This window comes from Homo sapiens, chromosome 14 (genome assembly GCF_000001405.40).
Source record: "Homo sapiens chromosome 14, GRCh38.p14 Primary Assembly".
In the NCBI taxonomy this organism is placed as follows: domain Eukaryota; kingdom Metazoa; phylum Chordata; class Mammalia; order Primates; family Hominidae; genus Homo; species Homo sapiens.
The window spans coordinates 99,961,638-99,989,127 of record NC_000014.9 but is presented as its reverse complement, the minus strand read 5'-3'; the positions used below and the strand labels follow the sequence as shown (position 1 = coordinate 99,989,127).

The window sequence follows — 27,490 nt, the reverse complement described above, 5'->3', positions numbered from 1 at the left end:
TCAGTTGTTGTTGTTTTAAAACAGATTTACTGAGGAACAGATTTTTTCTTTTTCATAAAATTCACCCATTTAAAGTATACAACAGTTTTTAGGATATTCACAGAATTGTACAACCATTACCATAATCCAATCTTGCGATACTGGGATTATCTGCAAGAGAAATCTTGTACTCATTAGCAGTTACTCCCCATTCTCAAACTGACCCTCAGCCCCACACCCTCCACCCACCCAAGCAATCACTAATCTACATTCTGTCTCTATAGATTTGCCTATTCTGGACATTTCATGTAAATGGAATCATACAATATGTGGTCTTTTGTGACTGCACCTGTCATTGAGTATAATATTTCTGATGTTCATCCATGTTATATCAGTATTTCATTAGTTTTTATTGCACTGTATGGATATACCACATTTTGTTTATCCATTCATCGATTCGTGAACATTTGGGTTGTTTCCACTTTGAGGCTATCATGAATAATGCTATGATCATTTGTGTATAAGTTCTGTGTAGACATATGTTCTAATTTCTCTTGGCTATCTGCCTACGAGTGGAACTGATAGGTCATAGGGTAACTCTATGTCTAACATTCTGAAAAACTGACAAACCGTTTTCCAAAGCAGCTGCACCATTTTACACTCCCCAGCAATGTACGAGGGCTCCAATATGTGAGGTTTATCCACATTCCCAATGTGTAAGGGTTATCCTCATCCTCACCAACATTTGTTATTATCTTTTTTATTCAAACCATCCTAGTGAGTATGAAATGGTATTTCATTGTGGTTTTGGTTTGCCTTTCCTCTTGTCTAATGATGCTAAGCACCTTTTCAAGTGCTTATTGGCCATTTGTTTATCTTCTTCAGAAAGGTATCTATTCAAATAATTTGCCCATTTTAAAATCAGGTTGTCTTGGCCAGGCACGGCGGCTCACACCTGTAATCCCAGCACTTTGGGAGGTCGAGGTGGGCAGATCACCTGAAGTCGGGAGTTTGGGACTAGCCTGACCAACATGGAGAAACCCCATCTCTACTAAAAAAATACAAAATTAGCAGGGTGTGGTGGTGCATGCCTGTAATCCCAGCAACTTGGGAGGCTGAGGCAGGAGAATCACTTGAACTCAGGGGGCAGAGATAGTGGTGAGCCAAGATCACGCCATTGCACTCCAGCCTGGGCAGCAAGAGTGAAACTCCGTCTCAAAAAAAAAAAAAAAAAAAAAAAAAATTGGGTTGTCTTTTCATTGTTGAGATGTCTTAGTCTATTCAAGCTGCTATAACAAAAATACCAGAAACTGGGTGGCTTATAAACAATATTTATTTCTCACAGTTCTAGAAGCTGAGAAGTCCAAGATGAAGGCACTGGCAAATTACCTATCTGATGAAGGCCTTTTCCTCATAGAGCCTTCTTGCTGCATCCTCACATGCTAGGAGGGGCAAACAAGCTCCCTCAAACCCCTTTTATTTATTTGTTTGTTTGTTTGTTTACTTGAGATAGAGTCTCGCTCCTGTCACACAGGTTGGAGTGCAGTGGTGCAATCTCGGCTCACTGCAACCTCCACCTCCCGGGTTCAAGTGATTCTCCTTCCTCAGTCTCCCAAGTAGCTGGGATTACAGGCGTGTGCCACCATGCCAGGCTAAGTTTTGTATTTTTAATAGAGACAGGGTTTTGCCATGTTGGCCAGGCTGGTCTCAAACTCCTGACCTCAGTTGATCCACCTGCCTTGGCCTCCCAAAGTGCTAGGATTACAGGCATGAGCCACCATGCCCGGCCTCTAACCTCTTTTATAAGGACACTAATCCCATATATGAGAGTTCAACCCTCATGACCTAATCATATTCCAAAGGCCCCACCTCTTAATAATATAATCTTGGCGGGGGGTAGTATTTCAACATATGAATTTTGGGAGCACACAAACTTTTAGACCATAGCAAAATATAAGAGTTCTTTATATATTCTAGATATAAATCTCTTATCAGATATATGATTTGCAAATATTTTCTCCCATTATCAGGATTGTCTTGTCACTTTATTGACGGTACCATTTTCAGCAGAAACATTTTTAATTTTGATAAAATCCAATTTATTTATTTATTGGTCATTTGTGCTTTTGGTGCTATTTCTAAGAAACCATTGTCTAACATAAGGTCACACAGATTTACTCTTGTATTTTCTCCCATAAGAGTTCTAAAGTTTTAGTCTTCCCACTGAAGTTTACAATCTACTTTAAGTTGAATTTTGTATATGGTGTGAGGTAGGGTCCAATTTCATTCTTTTGTATGTGGGTACTTTGTCCCAGTATTTGTTGAAAAGGCTATTTTCCCCCATTGAATTGTCTGGCACTCTTGTCAAAAAACAATTGCTCATAAATGTAGGGGTAGTAAGTCCAGTTGTAGACATGCTGAATTGCACGTACTTATGCTCTATCTCCTTGGAACTAGGCTACATGTGTAGAAAACCATGTCTTCAATTCATAGTCCAGAAATCTGCACAGTGAACTCAATAAATATTTGTGCAATTATTACCATATGTGCACTTCACAGTCATGCTGCCTCATCACCCATAGCCTTGGACACTCTGAAGCATATCACTCTGATCTTGTGAAGGCACCAGCTGGTTCCCTTCCTAGCGCTGCTCCTCTAATTGGGACACTATCTGATTCAGTCTGTTGCTTACTGTTTGATTTTTCCTTAATGATACAAATTGAGGAGAGCATTTTCCTTCTTCCCAGGAAAGAAAATGCTCATAAACGGGACCCTGAAGCTGTCCTCTTAGAAATCTCAGCTGGTAGAAAGAAGCAGTGCCAGTGGATACATTTGATTTTTTTTTTTTTTTTTTTTTTGAGACAGAGTCCACTCTGTCACCCAGGCTGGAGTACGGTGGTGCAATTTCAGCTCACCACAACCTCCACCTCCCAGGTTCAAGCGATTCTCATGCCTCACCCTCCCGAGTAGCTGGGACTACAGGCACATGCCACCACGTCTGGCTAATTTTTATATTTTTAGTAGGGACAGGGTTTAGCCATGTTGGTCAGGCTGGTCTTGAACTCCTGACTTCAGGTGATCCGCTCGCCTTGGCCTCCCAAAGTGCTGGGATTACAGGCATGAGCCATCGTGCCCAGCCAATACATTTGATTTTGATCTATCAGCAAAGAGGCTCCAAGGTTTAGTATGTTTCCATTTTGTATTCAGGGTTTCATTTGTGTGCTAGGTCGAACATCTTTCTGTATTCAAGCCGAAGTTAGAGATCTAAATTGCTAAAGGACTTCAGCAGGCCAGAGCTCAGTGAAAGGAAGGTCCACAGAAGGGCCACTAATTAGTAATGAATGGCTAAAAGACAAGGGACTTTTTTTTTTTTTTCTTTCTGAGATGGAGCTTCGCTCTTGTTGCCCAGGCCAGAGTGCAATGGCGCAATCTTGGCTCACCGCAACCTCCACCTCCTGGGTTCAAGCGATTCTTCTGCCTCAGCCTCCCAAGTAGCTGGGATTACAGGCATGCACCACCACACCCAGCTAATCTTGTATTTTAAGTAGAGACGGGGTTTCTCCATGTTGGTCATGCTGGTCACGAACTCCCGACCTCAGGTGATCCGCCCACCTGAGCCTCCCAAAGTGCTGAGATTACAGGCATGAGCCACCACGCCTGGCCAAGACCAAGGACTTTTAACCAAGAAAAGGCAAGACTTACTGAAGTCCATTGTCTTCAAGCATCTGAAAAGCCAACTGGAAGAAAGACCAGTTCAAGGAAGTACAAAGGTGAAGAACCAAAACAGAAGATAAGCCCAGTCAAAATCCTGCCAGTTCCCCTAGGCCCATCTCAAATGTAATAATAATAATAAATAAAAATTATGTCGTTCATACCTCTTTTCTGACACTGCCATCTCATATGCCCCATGCTATTCTTCTTGGCTATAAACTCCTTGAGGCTTATGTAGGTCTCCATAGCTCTCTATCCCTAGCCCCACTATCTTGCATATAGTAGGTACTCAATATATATATATCTGTCAAGCAAAAATGTAAGCAAATGTGATTAAAATTAAATGAGTTAAGTCTGAGAAACCATCAGCACCAAGAGGAGCCTAAAGAGATATAACAACTTAACGTTGTTATATACAAACTAAACTAAATGTCCTGAATGGGATCCTGGAACAGAAAAAGGATACCGGGTAAAAACAACAGAAACTTTAATAAATGCTGGACTTTAATTAATAATAATGTCAGCTGGGCACAGTGGCTTATGCCTGTAATACCAGCAATTTCAGAGGTCCAGGTGGGTGGATCACCTGAGGTCAGGAGTTCGAGACCAGCCTGGCCAACATGGTGCAACTCAGTCTCTACTAAAAATACAAAAAAATTAGCCGGGTGTGGTGACGCACACCTGTGATTCCAGCTACTCGGGAGGCTGAGACAGGAGAATCGCTTGAAACTGGGAGGTGGAGGTTGCAGTGAGCCGAGATCGCACCACTGCACTCCAGCCTGGGTGACCAGAGCAAAACTCTGTCTCAAATGATAATAATAACATATCAGTAATAATGTATCATACTAATATAAGATGTTAATTAACAGGAGAAACTATATGTGTGCAGGAGGTGTATAGGAACTCTCTGTACAACCTTCTCAATTTTTCTATAAATCTAAAACTGTTCTAAAATACAAAGTCTATTAATTTAAAAAAGAAAGAAAAGCATTCATTCATCCTTGGGGATGGGGCTGGGGTCTCCATTTTGGAAAGACACATACATACATACACATCCCTCCAGTGATTCCTACACATATTCAAGTTTGAGAAACATCTGGGATACTAAGGGTTACAGTGGATAACGTCCTTACAAAGAAATCACAGAAAAAAATACCCATCCACACATCACCAAACAAATCATGTCTTATGGCAGCAGTAAGGACACAACAGACTAAATCACTGACACCTCAGTAATGCATTAAGTCATTAAGCACATAATAAAATAGCTTTTGCTTGGATGCTAGCTTCTACGATTTGGGGGTGGCCACCTGAAATGCTGTCCTTAGAAGGATCCATGCCAAACTGGGATGAATGCCACGATCAACTATCCATCTTAGGTACAGGTGGCAGTGTCAATGTTTTATTAAACATCTACCAAGTGCCAAGTACCAGTGCTTGGGGTTCTGGGGTTCTAGCAGAGATCAAAACAAGCATAATCTCTGCCTTTATAAAGCCTTCAGTAGATCAGGGAAATTTTAAGTAATTACATACATATAAACAGTTACAGAAGAGGAAATATGGGATATCACAAAGGTAATTAACAGGAAAGGGCCCTCAGCTAGGCTAAGGGTCAAAGGCTGCCTCCCTGAGGAAGTGATGTTTCAAATAAGATTTGAAGGCTAAGAAGTTAGCAAGGTAAAGAGGAAAAGGAAGCAGCTAGACTGAGATCAACTTGCATGATTTAGCAACAGATCTTTTCTTATTTAAGAATTCTTTGAGAGAGAAGGGAGAAGAGAAGATAAGTGCAATAAACACAGCTCCACAAAAGCAGCAGAGCAGCAGGCAGGACCCAGAGAATGGTTGAGAGTGCTGGAACCTTTTAAAGAAGAGGCCCAGGACAAATACATGGGAAAAGGACTGGAGAAGGGTGTAGGCGGCTGCCAAAACCAAGCTCTTGTAAGGTCCACTGTCTCTTTAAGTTCCATAGGAAACACACCTTTAGAGCTATAAAATGGCATGTCTCTCCTTTATTACCCAAGGAGAGGCACACACTGGCTCATGTTTCCCTTTCTGTCATGACTTCCATGAATTTCACAGCTAAGTGTGCTCGACTGAAGTAACTCTTTCTTAACCTAAGTTTTCTGGTACAATTATCGCCTCTACGTCCAAATATTATGTCTCCTGTTTTATCTTTCTTTTGTCTATTTCATCTTTCATAGAGAATGTCACTGGATCTTTCTTAGAAGGTGATGCATCAATAGCAACTGCAGTTTCTAAACCAAAATTTATCACATATGAAGTCATATAGTCATCTGACAAAAGGGCAGAATATTTGAAACCAGAACTGTCCCATATCCTCATGGAAGATAAACCCTAGAAAATAAATACAGGGTGGTGAGGCTGGGGTGGGGTGGAGTAGGGCAGATAACTAACCTTTACTGAATATCATAAGCTGAGAACTTCTCATGTATTCTCATTTGATCCTCACAAAACCCTCTGAAGAAAGTGAACTGTCCTCATTTATACTTGAGAAAAACGGAGGCTCATAAAGGTTACGTAAATTGCTAAAAGTCAGCTGATAAGTAGTACCTCTGGGGCAGAATCCAGGTCTGACTCTAAAACCCAGGCTGCTCAGTATACAGGGGTTAAATTAAACTAAAACATTTTAAATCTAACTCAAATTCTTTTTAAGAAGTCCCTTTACATACCTACATTAACTGCAAACTGAAGAGTAGATGTCTTTCACACAGCCCTAAAGACAAAGACAATGCATCTTCGTATGAATCGCTCACAGAGGAACTGGGAACAGGGCTCCCTCCCCTGGTGAGCAGACAGAACTACACCATTTCAAAGTACAGTATTTTTTCCCCCCGCTCTCCCTCTTAACCCCATTTACTTCTCTCTCCTGATTCCTTTCCAAAGTCCTTCCTTTGGTGCTTGTTTTTGGGAGAACCTCCAAGTTAAACCTCTAGGATTAAACTTCTATTCACTAACTTTATCTTCTTCTTCTTTAAAATTAACATTCTGGTAGTATATATTGATAGCCTTTAAAATGTTTATACCCTTTGGTCCCAAAAATACCATTAAAATATATATTACGAATAAATTATAGTATACCATCTGACAGACTATTATTCAGCTATTTTAACTGTTTTCAAAGAATATTTAGCTGTTTTCAAAGAATATTTAGTAAGGGGGAAGTGCACATATATCAAATGTACAATGCCCAATACAAATATACAGTACACTTTCAATTTTGTAAAAATGTTTCACTTGTACCTGGGAATGATAAAGGAACTACACCACAGGTTTGATGTGGTTATCTGTAAAGAGCAGGATCAATGCTTATCTGTATTGTCTTCTTTATATCATACCATTCTGTTTTCATACTCTCCTTAACTGTTTCATGAAGGGACCGGCCACTCTTCTCACCCTCACCCCGACATCAGCTGGAAGTGCTTTCCCCTGAGTTACCACCACTCTTACTGCAGCACTTGCGATACATTCATGTGGCAACTCAAGAGTCCCTTCATCAAGCTTATCCAGACAGACCTCGTTTCATTGGGCTTCACTTTATTGAGCTTCACAGGTATTGCGTTTTTTACCAATTGAAGGTTTGTAGCAACTGCCCTGAGCAAATCTATTGACATCATTTTTTCCAATACCCTATGCTCACTTTGCTAGCATTTTTAAGCAATAAGGTATTTTCTAATGAAGGTATGTACATTTTCTAGACATAGTGCTACTGCATACTTAACAGACTATGGTATAGTGTAAACATAACTTCTATATGCACTTGGAAACAAAAAAATTCATGTGACTTGCTTTCTTACAATATTTGCTTTACTGCTTTATTGTGCACCCACTGTATCTCCAGGGTAAGTCTACTGCAAGGTTCCTCAAACATGGGCAGTACACATATTCTCTTTAAAGGGGAAAAATCTGTATGTGAAACAATATGATTTAATTTATATTCATTCAGCTTATATATATAATTGTTACTTTTCTTTTTTTTAATTTTATTTTTGAGACAGTTTCACTCTGTTGCCCAGGCCGGAGTGCAATGACATGATCTCGGCTCCTGCAACCTCCCCATCCCGGGTTCAAGCAATTCTTCTGCCTCAGCCTCCCAAGTAGATGGGATTACAGGCGCCCGCCACCACGCCTGGCTAATTTTTGTATTTTTAGTAGAGATGGGGTTTCACCATGTTAGCCAAGCTGGTCTCCAACTCCTGACCTCAGGTGATCAATCCACTGCCTCAAACTCCCAAAGTGCTGGGATTACAGGTGTGAGTCACCATGCCTGGCCTATTATTTTTCTTAATCAACAGAAGTGCTAGCCAAAAGCCTAAAAAGCAGATGCCTACACTTTTTTTTTTTTTTGAGATAGGATCTCAATATGTTGCCCACCGCCGCCGGTCTCAAACTTTTGGCCTCAAGCCATCCTTCTGCTCAGCCTCCCGAGTAGCTGGGATTACAGGCATGTGACACCACACCCAGCTTATATACACAACTATAAAACTAAGTTTAAATGTCTTATGTTTATATAACTAGATAAGCAAAAAACAAACTTATAAATTAAATACAAACAAAATCACCAAACCAGCAAAATTCAAAATAACATTAATCAATGATGCCGCTCAAATTAAAATCACTGCCCACAAGGTAAATATGGTAATGGCATAGGCCTAAAAACAGGCAGACAGAACAAGAGAGCCTGGAAAGATACACACGGAATCCCTATAGCCCTTACAAAAGCCACCTTAGGAAATGCCCCGTACCTGCAATTTGCAGCACTGGGTTCAGAAATATATTTGGACCCAACTGTGATAGCTAGTATAGGCTAAGGGTGAGAAATGGAGACTGTTTGTACCTGTGTATTTTATACTGTATTCTGTAATCACACTGCATTCTGTAGAACTCCAATATCAATAAAGTGCCCTTGGCCCAGATGAAGCGGTTCTTGGCTCGTAACCAGACCTGTTGACAGGCTGGACTGGCCATGCCTCACATGTACAAGGCTGGCCCCGGGGGAGGCAGGTAACTTTCTGAGAATTAGAGGTGATTCTCACTCATGTAGGCATTACCAGCCACAACCATGCACCCCGGGATGTTGGGATCCAGATGCCTGCACGGCCGTCCAACCCAGAAAATGTTGCTGTTATCTCTACCACATAAACTACTGATATGATCAAGTATCTGACCAGCAATTTTGAGAAAAATATAATTTAAGTCTCCATCTCATATTTCAGACCATTTGAAGAATGAATTTTTAAAACTGTTATACAGTCATACTCAGTATCCACAGGAGACTGGTTCCAGGACCCATCTCAGATACCAAAGTTTGCAGATGTTCAAATCCCTTAGGTAAAATGGAGTCATATTTGCATATAGCCCAGGTATATCTTCCCATATACCTTAAATCATCTCTAGATTACTTATAACACCTAATACAATGCAAATGCTATATAAATAGTTGTTATACTTTATTGTTTAGGGGATAATGACAAGAAAAAATATCAGTACGTGTTCAGTATAGACACAACCATCCTTTATTTATTTATTTATTTTTATTTATTTATTTTTGAGACGGAGTCTCGCTCTGTTCGCCCAGGCTGGAGTGCAGTGGCACGATCTTGGCTCACTGCAAGCTCTGCCTCCCGGGTTCGCACCATTCTCCTGCCTCAGCCTCCCGAGTAGCTGGGACTACAGGCGCCTGCCACCACGCCCGGCTAATTTTTTGTACTTTTCGTAGAGATGGGGTTTCACCATATTAGCCAGGATGGTGTGGATCTCCTGATCTCGTAATCCGCCCACCTCAGCTTCCCAAAGTGCTGGGATTACAGGCGTGAGCCACCGCACCCAGCCACAACCATCCTTTTTTTAAAAAAAATATTTCCATCCAAGGTTGGTTGAACCCACAGATGCAGAATCGACAGACACAGAGGGCCAACTTCACATATAACTGAAAAAAAAAAGTTTAATAATTAAAATTCTAGAAAAACAATAACTTAAATGTCAGAAATATGGAAAAATCATCAGGAACAAAACTTAATGACCTAAAATTTTTTTAACTTCTGTATCTAAATCTTTAAAAAAAGCAGATAGGGAAAATGTTCACAGAAGAGAATGTTCCCAATAGATAAATGACTCGAATATATAAGCAGAAATAGATTGCATATTGTGTATATGTGGGTGGGTTTTTTTGTTGTTGTTTTTTTTTTAGCAACTGCAGAAAGATTTAGTAAGTTTCTGTAAATCTTTTAGGTATGGGGATTATTTGTGTATGGGCGGTGAGAGTGGGGGATGGGAGTGTCTAGTTCCTTACACCTCCTTACCCCATCTAATCCAGTACCAGACAACAGTAAGCCTTCAAAAAACGATTTCTCAATGAAAATATGAAAATACATAGAGTCTGTTAGAAAAAGAGAAACAAGAATTCAGGCAGTAGTCTAGAAAATAAAGAAAAACTGAGACTTAGACTTCTTTATTTGAATAAGTCGATTCAATAGTACTTTTTTGCTAAAATAAGTGGACATGTGCCTCGAGTGTTTAGCTCACTTGTTAGAATGCATCTCCAGCGTTATGGCTTCCTGAGATGCTCCAAAAGGAACACAGTTTGGATATTACATTCTAGACTTTTAGCAATAGGTCATATCTACGTACTCTCATGACAGTATCTATCAAGAGAAATAATACGTTACTTTCATTTTAAAAATTTAGGACTGAACAAAAAGGAAAGTGTTATCATAGGTAAACCAAATTGCTTATAAATAATCAAATCAAATCAACTGACAACAAAGGTAATGAAAAGTCCCCCTGGATTCATTTAAATCCATGTACTAAAGCCAAGTACTTCAGGTACAGGTAAATATACACGTATAGGTATTCAACTATAAGCAGTCTGCAATGGAGAACCAGGTTAAACTGTAGCAATTTTAAAAATCTGTGTAAAAAATGACTGACTTAAAAAAAAGAAAAGAAAAATGGCTCTTCATTCTGGAAAAACCACTTAAGAACTTTTATTTCTACATCCATGCCTTTTTTTTTTTTTGAGACAGAGTCTCGCTCTGTCGCCCAGGCTGGAGTGCAGTGGCGCGATCTCGGCTCACTGCAAGCTCCGCCTCCCGGGTTCGCGCCATTCTCCTGCCTCAGCCTCCGGAGTAGCTGGGACTACAGGCACCCGCCACCATGCCCGGCTAATTTTTTGTATTTTTTTTTAGTAGAGACGGGGTTTCACCGTGTTAGCCAGGATGGTCTCGATCTCCTGACCTCGTGATCCACCCGCCTCGGCCTCCCAAAGTGCTGGGATTACAGGCGTGAGCCACCGCACCCTGCTGACTTTTTTTTTTTTTTTTTGAGACAGAGTCTCGCTCTGTCACCCAAGATGGAGTACAATGGCAAGATCTCAGCTTACTGTAACCTCTGCCTTCCGAGTTCAAGTGATTCTCCTGCCTCAGCCTCCTGAGTAGCTGGGATTACAGTCGCCCACCAGCACGCCTGGCTAACTGTTGTATTTTTAGTAGAGATGGGGGTTTTGCCATGCTGGCCAGGCTGGTCTCAAACTCCTGACCTCAGGTGATCTGCCTGCCTTGGCCTCCCAAAGTGCTGACATTACAGGCATGAACCACCGTGCCCAGCCATCCATGACTTTTTTAGATCCCAAAGAATGAGATCTGAGAATGCTCTTATGCTACTGTAGACTCAAAAATTAAATGTTCTGGCCAGGCACGGTGGCTCATGCCTATAATCCCAGCACTTTGGGGGGCCGAGGTGGGCGAATCACGAGGTCAGGAGTCTGAGACCAGCCTGGCCAACACAGGGAAACCCCGTCTCTACTAAAAATACAAAATATTAGCCGCGCGTAGTGGCGGATGAAAATACGATGTATTAGCCGCACATAGTGGCGGATGTCTGTAATCCCAGCTACTCGGGAGGCTGAGGCAGGAGAATCACTTGAACCTGGGAGATGGAGGTTGCAGTGAGCTGAGATCGCACCACTGTGCTCCAGCCCAGGCAACAGAGTGAGACTCCATCTAAAAAATAAAAATAAAAAATAAATTAAATTTCTATTCAGGAGGACTGGTTAGAGCATAATTTTTATCAAATAAATAAGGAAATCAAGACAGGAGAAAGGAACCATGGAAAGGAGATAAAAGTACCTGCCCCCCAAATCTTTTGTTTTAATGACCTGAGCTAAACTGCTATTTTTTTCAATTAATTATTTATTAAGAGGAGTTAAAGACTTATTCTTAAAGTTATCTTGATTCCAAAAGCATTTCACAAACTGGCAGAGATAATCTAATACAATTAGGACAGAACACAAGAAAATAGGTGTCACTGTTCTCTACAGCTTCCATAACCTGGTAGCATGAATCTCCAGAATTGAATATTGACTCAAACTGTTCCTGAAAATGCAAAAATCAGGGACTTTTACTGATAGTAACTGTGGACTAATCAGAACAATCAGAACAATCCTCCATCTAAAAAGAACTAGAAACGCTGGGAAAAATGTAAGAAATACCTGCTTGGAGGCACGGGGGAGGAAAGCAAGTCAGAGCCTGAGAAAGTGAGCTCAGTGTTTGAGGCTAATTTTCCTGAAGGGTGTTTATCAATTCTGAAGGGAATGCTAAAAGATTGGCGCTGGGGTGGAGAGTAAAGGTGCTGGTGAAGAAGAGAACATTAGGAGGAAAAGTGAACAGAACAGGTTTGTCTTCACAAGAACTGCAGCTCAGCTTAGAGATATTTCAATCCCTGAAACTGTACTGAAGGCAACGCCAATTGTAAGTGCTCCCATGTGCCTTATAACAGCAGATATTAATTATCTCTGGAAGAAAAAAGCATCATCTTAGGCCTCAAATTATTCCTACAAATAATTTTGCAAATATGATGTTTACCACACATTAAAAAAAACACTAGGCACATAAGGAGACAAGACAATATGAATGAAAATCAACAGAAACAGACACTGGAAACAACTAACAGATTGCCATAATTGAACATGGACTTTAAGATAATTACACATACTATGTTAAAGGAGGTAAAAGACAAGACTGATAATTTTGGCAGATAGCTTGGAAGTATAAAACAGAAACAAATAGAAATATAAAAATCAGCTGGGCACAATGGCTCATGCCTGTAATCCTAGCACTTTGGGAGGCTGAGGCAGGAGTATCACTGGAGGCCAAGAGTTTGAGACCAGCCTGGGCAACACAGCAAGACCCTGTCACTTAAATAAATAAATAAATAAATAAATAAATAAATAAATAAATAAAAGCTGGCCATGGGGGCGTGTGCCTGTAGCTGCAGCTACTTGGGAGGCTAAGGTGGGAGTTTAAGGCTGTAGTGAGTCATGACTGAGCCACTGCACTCTAGCCTGAGCAAAGGAATGAGACTCTGAAAAATAATAAAAATAAAAAACAAAAAAGAAATTTAAAAATAATTTTTAAAAACCCTGAAATTAAAAACTCAATGGGTGGTTTTAATAGCAGATTATATACAGCAGAGGAGGGGTGATGGAGAGAGACAGACAGTGAGAAGGAGATAACCAGAATAAAGAAGAGAGAGAGAAACATGTAAAATGCAGAGAAACAGTTAAGAGACATAGAAGATATAGTGAAATGGAATAACATGGGGGTCCTCAACCCCTGGACATGAACTAGTATCGGTCCATGGCCTGTCAGGAACCAGGCCACACAGCAGGAGGTGAGTGGCAGATGAGTGAGCATTACTGCCTGCAGTCTGCCTCCTGTCAGATGAGCTGAAGTATTAGATTCTCATAGAAGCGTGAACCCTATTGTGAACTGTGCACGCAAGGGATCCAGATTGTGCACTCCTTATGAGAAGCTAATCCCTGATGATCTGAGGTGGAACAGTTTTATCTGGAAACTACCCCCCTAACCCCCCAAGGAAAAATTTTCTTCCATAAAACCAGTCCCTGGTGCCAAAAAAGTTGTGAACTGCTGGTCTCACATATATCACTGTAGCCCTAGAAGGAAAGGTAAGAGAAAATGGGGCAGAAGAAATAACTGAAGTACTTATGGCTGATGATTTCCAAAACCAATGGAAGACATGAAGCCACAAATTCAAGAATCCCTAAAAACTCTAATTATAAATAAAAAGAAATCCATACTAGGGACAGTATAGAAAAATTGCTGAAAACCAAAGACAGAACTTTAAAAACAGCCAGAGAAAAAGACTACTTTCAAAGGAACAAGAGACTGACAAGTGACTTCTCAACAGAAACTAAGTCATAGATAATGAAATAGCTTTAAAATGCTAAAAGAGTTCTCCAAGAAAACACCAAATGGCGAATGAGACCAGTGCAGTGGGAGGGCCTAGAGGCCCCAAAATGGGAAGCCACAGCAGTGGCATCCAGGGCTAAGGCTGGGGCCACGGAGCTGGTGGTGGCAAGGCCAAGGCCAAGGCCAAGGCCAAGGAGTAGGTCCCCATCATCAAACTGGGCAGCATAGTCAAGGACATGAAGATTAAGTCCCTGAAGCTCTATCTCCTCTCCCTGCCCATCAAGGAGGCTGAGATCATCGACTTTTTCCTGGGGGCAACCCTCACGAATGAGTTTAAGATTATGCCAGTAAAAATGGAGACTTGCACTGGCCAGTGGTCCAGATTCAAGGCACTTGTTGCCATTGGGGACTAAAATATCCATGTCGGTCTGGGTGTTAAATGCTCCAAGACGGTACCTACTACCATCCAAGGAGTCATCATCTTTGTCAAGCTCTCCACTGTCCCGGTGCAGAGAGGCATCTCAGGAGACAACACTGGCAAGCCCCACGGCATTCCTTGCAAGGTGACAGACCACTGCAACTCTGTGCTGGTACACCTCATCTCTACACACAGAGACAATGGTTTCATCTTGATCTCTGTGCCCAAAAAGCTGTTGATGATGGCTGGCATTAAGGACTGCCACACCTCAGTCAGGGGCTGCACTGCCACCCTGGGCAACTTCACCAAGGCCACTGTTAATGTCATCTCAAAGACCTACAGCTATCTGATCCCCAAGCTCTGGAAGGAGACCATATTCACCAAGTCTACCTATTAGGAAACTAGGAATTCACTGACCAGAGTCTCCACTGCAGAGAACCCAGGCTCCAGCTATGGCTATTATACAATGCAGGATTTTTATACAAGAAAAATAAAGTGAATTAAATTTTTAAAATGCTAAAAGAAATCAATGGCAAACCAAGAGTTCTATAAAACTAATAAAAAGACACTTCACAAATGGAAAAAAGTTCTAAAATTAGATGTGGTAATGGTTGTATAACTGAATATTCTAAAAACCACTAAACCATAGGCTTTAAATGGGTACATTTTACTGTGTGAATTATATCTCAATAAAACTTACAAAAAAGAAAACAATGAAGAATAAATAATGATGTTTTTCGACAAACACTAAGAATTTGTTGCCAGACCTGCACTAAAGAATACTGAAGAGTATTCTTCAGGCAGAAAGAAAATAACTCCAAAGCGAAGACTGGAAGATGACAAAGGTGGTACAACAGAGTTATGGGGAAAAGATTATCTTTTTAATAAATGGTGCTGAAAAAAATGGTGTTAAGTAAAAATAAAATTTAACCCCTTTTTCACATTATGTCACACAAAAATGAATTTCTGGTGAACCATATATCTTAATGTAAAAGGGAAAACACATGTAAGCTTTCTAATATTTTACAGGAAACTATTTTCGGTGGCTCATGCCTGTAATCCCAGCAGTTTGGGAGGCCAAGGCGGGTTGATCACCTGAGGTCAGGAGTTCGAGACCCGCCTGGCCAACATGGTGAAACCCCGTCTCTACTAAAAATACAAAAATCAGCCAGGTGTGGTGGTACGTACCTGTAATCCCAGCTACTCGGGAAGCTGAGACAGCAGAATCGCTTGAACCCAGGAGGCAGAGGTTGCAGTGAGCCGAGATCGCACCACTGCACTCCAGCCTGGGCAACAGAGCGAGACTCCGTCTCAAAACAAACAAACAAAAACCCAAGAGAAATGTGGGCAAGATATCTGAACAGGCACTCCAGAAAACTATACCAAATAAAAATAAAAAGATGTTCAGCCTCATCAGTCAACAGGAAACTGCAGATTAAAACCACAATGGGATATCATTTCATAATCACCAGAATGGTTAAAATTTAAGACTGACAATACCAAGTGTTGAGAAGGAGGTGAAGCAACAAGAACTCTCACACATTTTTTGGTAAGAATGTCAGCTCGTAGAACCACTTTGGCAACTTGGTGTTTACCGCTAATGCTAAAGATATGCTTATCTTTTGACCTAAAAATTCTACTAGATATCTACCCAATCGAAATGAATGCACCAGGAGATACACAACAATATCCATAACAGCATTATTAATAGCCAACAAAGCTAGAAACAACTAAAATGTCTAGTAACAGTAGAATGCGTACACTGTGGTATATTCTTACAACAGAATACTATAGACCAATAAAAATGAACAAATAACGATTACAACGGAATGGATCTCGAAAACATCTTGAAAAACACCAGACACAAAAGAATACTGTATTATTTCATTGTCATAAATAATACAAAACAGGCAAAACGAAACTATAGTTACAAACTACAGTTTTTACGAGATACGTGTTCAGAAAGCAAAATTACAAATGGAAAAAAAAAAAGTGATTACCCCAAAAAAGTCACGACAGGATCTGGAGAGGAAGGGAGGGTTTAGCGACTGGGAGAGGGCACCGGGCTTCTGGCAGAAGCAAGGTTTTATTTCTTGGCCTGATAATCAGCAGGCTCCCGAGCTGGGTGATACATCAACGAGCGGTACATTTGGGGGCCTTGCACTTTACTGGCGTGCAAGAAGAAAAAAAAGGGGGGTTGAGAATTAGGAGACGAAGGGGTTGACGGGCTCCAAGTCGAGGGGAAACTACACCTGTAAAAGCCCAAACGCGGCTCTGGGCGCTGGCAGGGGGAGGCTTCGGCAACGCCTGGGGGCTTCAGGCCAGCCTCCTCCGGGCTGGAAGGCACCGCACAGGGGCTTCCGCCAACTTCGGTCCTCGCGCGGTCGGGACACGGCCACACCTGCCCGCGGGGGTCTGCCTCCCAGGCCGCCGCAGGCCCCCCGGAGCCTAAGAGGACCCCACAAGCAGCCAAAGCCAGCGCCGCCTGCCCCTTGCAGAACACTGCCCCCCACAAGCCCTGCAGACCCTCCCGGCTCTCCAGACGCCCCCACGGCTCTCGCGAAGCCATTCCCGCGCTCTGAATGCCCCCGAATCTCTGCAGAGCCCCCGCGGTTCTCTGGAAGCCCCCGCGCCCGTGGAGCCCCCCTCCCGCCCTCGGGGGCACCGCGGGCCCCCAGCCCAGCCCCTCCGACGCTGGCCGCTGCCACCTCCCACGAGGCGCCGGCCCCGACTCACCTCATTGTCGCTGCCGGGGACGGGCGCGCCGGGCCAGGGGCGACCCGGCGGCGGCGGCGGCGGCGGCGGGGCGCGGGACGCGGGCGCTAGCGGGGGAGCCGGCCCCGGGCGCGGCGGCTCCGCGTCTGACTGGGCTGCGGGGGGCAGCGGGGGCTCATCTTCTCCGGGTGGGCGTCGGGGCCGCTAGCTGCGGGGAAGGGCCGCGGCGGCGGCGACTGACAGCTGGGCCCCGGCCCCTGCCATCTTGGCGGGCGCGTGCCCGGGCCGGCGTGTGCGCGGGCGCGTGCCTGGGGGCCGCCGCCGGGGGATGGGGGGGCGGGGGGCGAGCCGGCTGGGGTCCGGGCGGCGGGAACGCGTGCGCGTCCGCCTGAGACTCGGGGCGGCGGCCCCTGGCGAGTGCGCGGGCGGCTCCGAGTCCTCGAGGGAGAGGCGCGCGGGCGCGCGGGCTAGTCTCAGCACAGCAGCCAAGAGCTAGGGTACGCGCGTTGCTGTTCGCCCCACCGCCCTCCGAGGGGACTGCGCGCGCGTGCGCCCCTCCGCCCGCGGCCGCTGAGGTGAATGAGCGCGCGCGGCGGTCAAAGCCCGACACAAAAGGCGCGGGGCCCCACCGTCCGCGCCTCCGGGAGCGCTGAGCTTGAGGCTGCGAGGGGCGGGGCGGACGAGAGTGGCGGGGCTGAGGGGCGGGGCTTTGAGGGAAGCGCGAGGGGCGTGGCCGGGGTGGGGGCGGGGCGCCGGGCGGGCACGTGGCGCGGTGCGCTCCCTCCCGGCGCGGACGCTCCTCCAGTCCCCGCCTGACCCCAGAGCTCACAGAGGCCACCGGGGGAGCCAGGGTCCGTGCTCGATGGCCCCATGATTCCCATCACCTGGCCCTGCTGAGCACCCTGCCCGCTCGGACTCGGGGCATCCCTGATCCGAGGGCCGTCGAGGTCACCGGCGACTGATTCCCTCTCTTTGTACATAAGGAGCCGTGGCGGGGCCGGAGAGTTGCAGCTTTGGGGCGATATCAGTATTCGAAGTATCTCCCCCAGCTCAACAAGAGCCCACACGGGTCCCCAGAACCACAGCCTGTGAAAAATCACATTTACCGTACACAGCGTCAAGTAGTTCGTCCAGGTTGTCTCTGGTTTTTAAATCCCCATCTTTCCTAAAGGTTAGTGAATCTCACTGGTGGCTGGAAACCCCAGATCCTCCAGGGTCTCACTCCCCGTGTGTAAGAAGACACAGTTCCGGCCCGGCGTAGTGCCTCACGCCTGTAATCCCAGCACTTTGGGAGGCTGAGGCGGGTGGATCACCTGAGGTCAGAAGTTCGAGACCAGCCTGACCAACATGGTGAAACCCTGTCTTTACTAAATACAAAAAGTTAGCCCGGCGTGGTGGCACGCACTTTTAATCCCAGCTACTTGGGAGGCTGCAGAAGGAGAATCGCTTGAACCCAGGAGGCAGGGGTTGCAGCGAGCCGAGATCTTGCATTCCAGCCTGGGAGACAGAGTGAGACTCTGTCTCAAAAAAAAAAAAAAAAGAAGACAAAGTTCCTCATGCATTACCAGTATGGGCACTATTGCCTCCCTTCCCCGTGTCACAGAACGTTAATAGCTACCTTTTGAAAAACGGTCTGAACAAGAGCATTTAAGGCGTTTGTCAGCGTCTGGCAGTTAGGAGGGCAATGAAGGGTCGCTATTTTCCTCCTGTCCAGGATTGAGGAGAGGCTGTGTGTGTTAAGCAGTTTTGTCCAAGATATAGTAAATGGTGGAGCCAAGTCTCAAGCAGCGTTTTTCTGACTCGGAATCCCAGTGCCCATGCGTTCTAGTTTGCTGGGGTTGAACATCAGTGTCATGGGCTGCAGTTTGGGTCTCTATGTGCTTCTCTCTCTCCCTGTCTCCTTGTACCTCCCTCACCGTGTACAGGTATTTAGAGTTCCCTAGCGATTGGTTGTAGCACCTCCACTTTCCTTCCTGTATTTGTTTAAGCCCAGAGTTGTCAAACCTGAAAGGGTACCATGATCTCCTACAGCCCTGGTAGCAGCCCCTGAGGGTGGTACCCTCTCATAACCTCATTTGTCCCTCTCTTCACAAGTTCAAGAGTGGTCTCTTTGCTACAGGAGAGTCTTGTTGCATCCTAAAATTTACTAAAATGCACAAGCCTCAGGTCACCTGGGGACATTCCAGCTGTGCTATGGAAAGGCAAGGTTAACCCCTGGTCACTGCCTATCAAAGTCCTGTGCTGAGACCTTGGGATACAGGCCTGCTTGTTTGCAGCCTGGTTTATTGATGCTCTTTCAGCATGTGGCCCACTCTGATCTCCAGATCAGGTATTTTCCCTGCTGCCCTGAAGTCTGACAAGTTGTTACCGTCTTGCTCCTGGAGAGGTTGTTTCTTGCAGCTGATGTTTGTTCATCAGAGGGCTTCATGAGCTGCAGGAGGAGCTGAGAGACGACAGATTGGGACCACTCACATCCTATCCTGTGCCCTGCTTCCACCTGAGTGGGCATTGGTCTTTGTCTGACAGACCCTGGGATGCTTGGGGAGTCAGAGGCTCCTTGTGTTAATCCTCCAGCTCACACCTCTCTGACCTCCATTCCTCCTCTGGCAGGTGGGAATCCTAAAGCCCATCTGGCAGGTGCTGCTGAGGCTCAGATGAGATGCCGATGTCCACACAAAGTAGATCCCGAGAAAGGCCTTTTCTGCCCTTCTTCAGTACCCTCCCCCTCGCCTCCCCTCCCCTCTTCCTTAACGAAACATAATTTGAAACCACAGTCTATTTGGCACGTTTTGCATTTTCTGAACAAAGGCTTTATTCCTTAAAAGTACATGAATTCATGTTTTCCATTCTTCTGATAAAAAGAAAATTAACATTTGGACATGTGGCTCCCCCGAATGACTTATTTCTGGAGGTCACCAGTCCTAGGATTTGGAAAGTTTCCTTGCCAGAGTCAGTGATTTCATGACATCTGATGTGTGTGGGTGCAGGACACTCAGCCAGGCTGACGACCCATGCCTCCAAGCGCTCCTGGGCTGGAATTTCCATTTGTAAGGGAGGCAGGAAAGATGATTTTGGCTGTTTGTTGGGTTCAGGATAGTCACAGAGTCACAGATAACAGAGCTAGCAAGTCTTCAAAGGGCATCTCATCCAACCTACTTGTCCAGAGGGTGATGAAACTGAGGCCCCAGGAGGTCACACAGGTGACTGGAATAAGAGCCAAATGAGCATGTATTTCTGCAGACTCCAAGGCCTTGGACTGCCTGCCCAGTTCTTGAAGTTTTTCCAGCCCTGGGGTCACTGCTGAGGAGCCAGCTCCATGGACCATCTTCTCCATTGCTTAGTGTTTGCCAAAACGAAACTCACCACAAATAATGGAAAGAAACACAGTTGCTTTCGATGATTCACCAATGAGACCATGTCTGGTTCACATTAACCAGCATAAGTGAGTTACAAATGCATGCCAGAATCCAAAGTAAAGCACGCTTAGACAACCACAGATGTCTCAGGGGTTTGGGGGACCACCTGTGACCCTGTACCCCTTTTTCATTCACACCATTAATTTCATTGCCCAACTCAGTTATTACCAGCAGTTGTTTTCCTTAAACACAGCATGGCTAGTTTTCCTTCATTCATCCATTCGTTTAATGTGCCTTGCGCTCCTCGGCACGTGTCTGCCTCCTCTCCTGCCCTGCTCACTGCCTCAGCCTGCCTGGCAAATCATCTTCAATCCTGCTATGTGTCAGGTCTCTCCTGGACCGCTCAGCACCACCCTCCCCCACCACAGGCTGCAGGCTCCTTCTCTACACTGTTTCGGGGTCACACGCCTGCCCTCCTGCATCGGGATTGTCTTCTTACTTGCAGGCTCCCCAACTAGGCTGTGAACTTCATGAGACCAGCAAGCGAGTCTCATTCCTCTTTGTGCTGCCAGCCTCTCCAGCCCTGTGGGCTTGTGACAGTGCAGAATTGAAGGAATCCTGCGTGAGCGCCGCCATTCCAACCCAAGCAGTGCCCTGGGAGGGTCAGAGACCACTAGCCTGTGTGCGCGGGCATTTTTGGCAACTACGGCTCCTGCTTGTGTTCTATCTGGCAGGAAATAGAAATTACTTCTGGTCCATTTTGGCTTCCACACCTTGAAGATGGCCTGTGGGTCAAAGCTGGAGCTTTTTTTTTTTTGGTTCTAGCAATTCTGGTGCCTCAGCCTCCCGCCACCATGCCCACTCAGCTTAATTTTTTTATTTTTAGCAGAGATGGGGGTTCGCCATGTTGGCCAGGCTGGTCTTGAACTCCTGACCTCAGGTGATCCACCCACCTTGGCCTCCCACAGTGCTGCGATTACAGGTGTGCGCCACCGTGCCCGGCCTGGAGCTTATTTTAATTTCACCTCTCTCGGGCTCCCCCACTCAAAAGTGATTTCCCTAAGATCATGTTTTACTGGCTTTGAAGGCAGGAGGGGTGACTCTGGGATGAGGGCCCTATAGTCATACCGGGGAGCACTCCAGCCTTCTGCTGGGGTGACTTAGAGATCTGGACCCATCAATAAGAAGCGTGGCCAGACGGGGCTGGGGGAAAATCTTTGCTACCTGTCTTGTGGAGGGCAACTTCTTAGTGCCACTGTTTGCAAGGAGAAAGGAGGACCTAGTGTTACCGGTGGAGGGTGTCCAGGTTCTTCGCATCTTGAACAAAGAACTGGACAAAACACACAAACAAAGCAAGGAAAGAATGAAGCAATAAAAGCAGAGATTTATTGACAGCAGAAGTATACTCCCCAGGGCGGGAGCGGGTGAGCATGGGGGTTCCAGAGCCCCATGACAGAATTTTCTGGTTTTCCTCTCGCAAGGCCAGAGTCCCTCCGCTAGAGCGCTTCCCGCCCGGCCTGGCAGTCGGAATCCCGGGTTCCACGCAGGAAGGGGAGGGGCCAGGCTCCTCCCTGCTGCAAACCTTGTGAACTTCCCGAGGCTCCCCCTCAGTGGGCAGGCTGGCTGGAGTTTCTCCAGGGACCTGCTCCCACCTGGCTGTGTCACAGGGCTGGGCGGGAGCAGGCCTGCTGTTCTGCAGCCAAGTCTGAGTGTTCCCACTTTATGGGAACTTAATGTCTCCACTTAATTGAAGAAGAAAACTAAGCCAAGTACATGCCTGGGACAACCAGCCAGCCATCCTAGAGAGGCCTAAGGGTCCCCCTGGAGCCCGTGCCCCTTCCCAGGAGCCCTGAGGCCACTGGGAAGGGAAGCCCCATCCAGCTCACACCTAGGAAAGCCAAAATCTCTCCTCACTCCCAGCTAGTCATCGGGTCCCAGCTTGGGGGCCCGTTCACCATCAGCTTTGGGGAAGAAACTTCCCGCTCACTTCTCCTGCCTGCTGTCTCGCAATTACCGTGGGGACTGTGGCAGCCAGGCCTTTGTGGGAGCCGCCGGCACTTCATTCGCAAGGAGGCCGGGAGGCCCGGGCATCCGAATGCGAGCAGACGTGTCAGGGGTCGGGGTGTTGGGAAGTTTAAAGGCTGCAGCCTCCCCACCCAGGGAGGCACGGTCTTCCCGCCAGGCTGCGCAGTCAGAATGTGGCATGTCTAAAGGAGGGAATCGTAGAGAAGTGATGAGGAGAGTCAAGAAGATCTTGCCTAAGAGCAATTGGAAAACAAACAAAAAAATCTTGAGAATAGAAAATACATTATTTCAAAATTAAGAAATTAATTAGAGGCAGTGAAAAACAAAAGACACTCCTGCAGAACAAGGGTCAGTACACTTTCTGCAAAGGACCAGCTGGTAAATAGTTTTGGCTTTTTCAAAGCCATGTGGTCTGTCACAACTGTGGCAGGCCAATTCTCCCTGACAATCACACAGACGGGCCTGTATGACAGTCGACAGACAGGCCTGCACAGCACCCCAGTTACACAGATTTCCACAGCGCTGCCTTAACACTGAGCAAATAGTTAAACCTAGGGCAATCGGTGCCCAGACATCAAAGCTACAAATAAAGCATACGGTCAGTAGAAGCCTTGCATGGGCTTCTCCCTAACCTGGAGCAAGTCAAAATAATAGAATCTAACATTCCTAGTGCCAGGACCTGCCTCGGGTCGACAAAATCTGAGACGAGTCAAGGTAACAGAGGCAGCTGTTTGAATAGATTCATCAGAGAGTCTAAGGCAGCACTCCAGACCAAGCTGTAAAGGAGATAAGATAGAAATAATCACTCTGGTACCACAGGAGACAGGCCTTGAAGGTACTGGGGCCCACACAGCTTAATCAGACTTAGCTTGTTTTTTTTTTTTTATGTTCCAAATGTGATGGGTTTATTTTATTTTACTCTGATGCAAAATCAAAGATTCCACAATAGCACAGAGACCAATATATTACAGAGTCATGAAAAAAATGGTGTGAACATGCAGGACACGAGGTACAAACTGGAGGTTCAGATCGTCTCCTCTAACATGACACCACACTGTCGCCGAGGAACACATTTAATAACACTGCAGAACTGAACCGAAACGTGGCACAAACAGGACAGCTTCCAGGCATGCTTTCCAGCGCCTCCCCTCAGGAGGGACTCACAACCCCTAGACTTCAGTGTGGGGAGGATTACAATTTTTTGGAAGAGTAAAAAGTTCACACTTTTGAAATTTCACAGAAGGATTGTAGGGCCAAAACATGGTGGGTTCATTTCTCTTCACTTCCAGGGACAAATCTGATGCTTTCCTCAAACCACATTAAGCTTGCAGTTCAAACGCCAAGCCAACCTTGTGACCTCCTGCACTGAAGTTGTTTCCATCGATTAAAGCTGATAAAGGGTCAATTTGACTCCGGGTCGAAGGGTCTGAGTATAACCCAGTCCAATCAGGCTGGCATTATTTACTTTAGCAGAGAGAGAAGTTCTACAATCCAGCTTGTACTTAGTAGCAATGCCAAAATGGGTGTTGTTACTCCAGCCGTCCAAGCAAGGTTTATTGACATTTCAATCCCATTAACCTTCTGGTAGATAGAACCTCCAAATTCAGTGCCATCGGTCACATGTGTGTGCAGCTGGAAGTCTGCAGCCTCGTAACCCAGGGCGAAATTATTCTGTGACAATTTGGATTTGGCTGTGTCAAAACTCATCTGATAGCCGGCAAGCCACCCTTCAAAGACCAACACAGCCCAGCCATAGATGGTTGGTCCGGAAAAATCTAGATCAACATTACTGCCAACACTAAAACAATCCCATTTATAGGAGGCCTTCAATTCCCCACTCTTCTTTCCTGTGTTTGGTACCAATATGGTATCAAGACTCAGTTTCAACCCTTTAGCCAACTTATTCTCCAAAGAGATTTCTGTCCCAAGAGTATTGTCTGTGTTCCGTTTTTGAGTGAAGGTAAGTCCATAGTTACAGACCTTACATTCGGGTTCTAGGTTGCCTGATGCTTTCCCTGTATCAGTGTAAGCATGACCAGAAGTAGAAAATTCCACTGCACTACAGGACTTGGTTTTCAGGTCTATCTTCCCCATGCCAAAGCCATATCCTTTGTTGAAGACATCCTCAGCAGCCTTTCCCAGGTCACAGTAAGTTGGTGTGTTACACATATCTTAGAAAAATCTTTCTCAGGTTCTTATGAAATCAAAGACCTCCACCCCCAAGGGCCTGTCTCCCACAAGCTTTTTTTTGCCTCTGACCTTCTAGTTGAAACAAAATTAGTTACCAATAGACTTAGGCGAATGTTGTGCTGCACGTAGGCACATAACTCCAACCTGTATAAGCAATTCTAACACTTTGAGTTGGTCTGGTGGAATTATCTCTGGCCTTCTGCCTGTATCCGGTTACAGCAATAAATTCCCTTTTTTTTTTTTTTTTTGGGACGGAGTCTCACTCTGTCGCCCAGGCTGGAGTGCAGTGGTGCAATCTCTGCTCGCTGCAACTCCGCCTCCAGAGTTCACGCCATTCTCCTGCCTCAGCCTCCCAAGTAGCTGGGACTACAGGCACCCGCCACCACGCTAGGCTAATTTTTTTTTTTTTTTTTTTTTTTTTTTTTGTATTTTTAGTAGAGACGTGGTTTCACCATGTTAGCCAGGATGGTCTCGATCTCCTGACCTGGTGATCCGCCCGCCTCGGCCTCCCAAAGTGCTGGGATTACAGGCATGAGCCACCGCACCTGGCCAATTCCCTTCTTCGCTAGTTTGTCTGCTTCTCATTATTGGGACTCAAGAAGAGGCAGCTGGACCTGACTTGCTTCCGGGAACACAACTACTTCCCTTGGCCTTTGACTTGAAGACAGCCATAGACCATATGTGAGTGGATGTCACTGTGTTCCAAGAGAACTTTAGTGACAAAAACAGGTAAAACCATTTTTATTTTCAGATGACATTATCTTACCTATAGAAATTCCTAAGGAACCCACTCAAAAACTATCAGAACTAATAAACAAGTTCTGCAAGGTCCAAGCATATAAGATAAACATATAAACATCAATTGTATTTCGATAGACTTGCTATGAAGAATCTGAAAATGAAGTTAAGAAAACAATTCTATTTACATGACATCAAAACAATAAAATACTTATGAATGAATTTAACAAAAAAAGTGTAAGACTTGTACACTGAAAACTATGAAACGACTCCGAAAGAAATTAAAGAAAACCTATAAACGGAAAGATATCCATTTATGGGTTGAAAGAGCTAATATTATTAAAATGGCAAGAGAGCCCAAATTGACCTACAGATTCGATGCAATTCCTGTCAAAATCCCAGCTGCTTCCACTTTTATTTTGTGCAGAAATTAGAAAGCTGATCCTAAAATTCATCTGGAAATGCAAGGGACCATAGAATAGCCAGAAGAGTCTTGAAAAAGAATAAGTACAGGTATATACATTGATGGAATAAAATAGACAGTCCAGGCAGGGAGTGGTGGCTCACACCTGTAATCCCAGCACTTTGGGAGGCTGAGGCAGGTGGATCACCTGAGGTCAGGAGTTCGAGACCAGCCTGGCCAACATGGTGAAACCCCATCTCTACCAAAAATACAAAAAATTAGCCGGGTGTGGTGGCATGCGCCTGTAGTCCCAGCTATTCGGGAGACTGAGGGCGGGAGAATCGCTTGAACCCAGGAGGCGGAGGTTGCAGTGAGTCAAGATCACGCCACTGCACTCTAGCCTGGGCCACAGAGCAAGACTCCATCTCAAAGAAAAAAAAATAGGATAGAGAGTTGAGAAATAAACCCTTAACTTTACAGTCAATTGATTATCAACAGGGGCGCCAAGTTAAAGAACAGGCTTTAATAAATGGTGTTGAAACAACTAGATACCCACATGCAAAAGACTAAAGTTGAAACCTTATTTACATCATTCATAAACTTTATCTCAAAATGGATCACAGACCTTCATATAAGAGCTAAAACTATAAAACTCTTAGAAGAAAACATACATGCAATCTTCATAACCTTGAGTTTGGCGGAGGCTTTTTAGATATGACACCAAAAGCAGAAGTGACCAAAGAAAAAATAAATAAATTGGACCACATTAGTATTAAACACTTTTGCTGCAAATGATACCATCTAGAAAGTGAAAAGACAACCCACAGAATGAGAGAAAATATTTGCAAATATCATATATCTGATAAGATCTGGTTTTGTCTGTTTACTGTTGCTATAAAGGAATACCTGAGGCTGGATAAATGTGGCTCACGACTCTGCTGGCTGGAAGACTGGGGACCTGGTGAGAGCCTCAGGCTGCTTGCATTCATGGTGGAAGGTGAAAGGAGCCCACAGGTGCAAAGATCACAGGGCGAGAGAGGGAGCAAGAGAGAGGGGGAGGGGCCAGGCTCCTTTTGACAACGGGCTCTCTCTGGAACTGATGGAGCAGGAACCAACTCAGTCCTCCTCCCCTAGGGAGGGCATTAACGTATTCATGGGGATTCCCAACCCACGACCCAAATACCTCCCACCGAGCCCACCTCCAACGCTAGGAGTCAAATTTCAACATGAAGTTTGGGGAAACAAACATTCAAAGTATAGCAAAGAGGTTTGTATCCGGAATATATAATGCACTCTTAGAACTCAAAAATAAAAGACAAAGAGCCCAATTAAAAAGTCAGCAAAGGCCAGGCGCGGTGGCTCACAACTGTACTCCCAGCACTTTGGGAGGCCGAGGCCGGCGGATCACTTGAGGTCAGGAGTTCAAGACCAGCCCGGCCAACATGGTGAAACTCCGTCTCTACTAAAAATACAAAAATTAACCAGGCGTGGTGGTGCGAGCTTGTAGTCCCAGCTGCTCGGGAAGCTGAGGTGGGAGAATCACTTGAACCTGGGAGGTGGAGGTTGCAGTGAGCTGATATTGCACCACTGCACTCCAGCCTGGGTGACAGAACGAGACTCTGTCTCAAAAAAAAAAAAAAAAAAAAAAGTCAGCAAAGGGTCTAAATAGACATTTCTCCTTAGAAGATATAATATGAATGGCCAACAAGTACCTAAAAAGAAGCTGAAC

At 45.1% G+C, this 27,490-nt stretch overlaps 1 protein-coding gene and 2 pseudogenes across 2 annotated transcripts in view, besides 4 other annotated features; 1 reads left to right on the top strand and 2 right to left on the bottom strand.

The window, feature by feature from the left end:
• Nucleotides 1–17,706, bottom strand: part of EVL (Enah/Vasp-like) — a 172,815-nt gene extending 155,109 nt beyond the window's left edge. For both annotated transcript variants that reach the window (NM_001330221.2, XM_047431464.1), the window contains exon 1: nt 17,071–17,706. In NM_001330221.2, coding sequence (NP_001317150.1) covers nt 17,071–17,075 — 5 coding nt within the window. In that variant the 5' untranslated portion in view covers nt 17,076–17,706. The remainder of the gene's footprint in view (nt 1–17,070) is intronic.
• On the top strand, nt 14,095–14,838 carry RPS2P3 (ribosomal protein S2 pseudogene 3; annotated as a pseudogene).
• Nucleotides 17,535–17,614: a silencer, noted in NCBI's record as "silent region_6072". NCBI's record gives its function as "represses an Ori minimal core promoter by ATAC-STARR-seq in GM12878 lymphoblastoid cells {active_cell/tissue: GM12878}" and the evidence as "EXISTENCE:reporter gene assay evidence [ECO:0000049][PMID:35858748]".
• Nucleotides 17,755–17,804: a silencer, noted in NCBI's record as "silent region_6071". NCBI's record gives its function as "represses an Ori minimal core promoter by ATAC-STARR-seq in GM12878 lymphoblastoid cells {active_cell/tissue: GM12878}" and the evidence as "EXISTENCE:reporter gene assay evidence [ECO:0000049][PMID:35858748]".
• Nucleotides 20,162–20,456: a silencer, noted in NCBI's record as "tiled region #1879; K562 Repressive non-DNase unmatched - State 22:ReprW". NCBI's record gives its function as "represses a minimal TATA promoter and a strong SV40 promoter by Sharpr-MPRA in K562 cells {active_cell/tissue: K562}" and the evidence as "EXISTENCE:reporter gene assay evidence [ECO:0000049][PMID:27701403]".
• Nucleotides 20,514–21,123: an enhancer, noted in NCBI's record as "H3K4me1 hESC enhancer chr14:100434342-100434951 (GRCh37/hg19 assembly coordinates)". NCBI's record gives its function as "activates a minimal SCP1, AML or CMV promoter by ChIP-STARR-seq in naive H9 embryonic stem cells {active_cell/tissue: H9 hESC(naive)}" and the evidence as "EXISTENCE:reporter gene assay evidence [ECO:0000049][PMID:30033119]".
• Nucleotides 23,553–24,664, bottom strand: VDAC3P1 (voltage dependent anion channel 3 pseudogene 1; annotated as a pseudogene).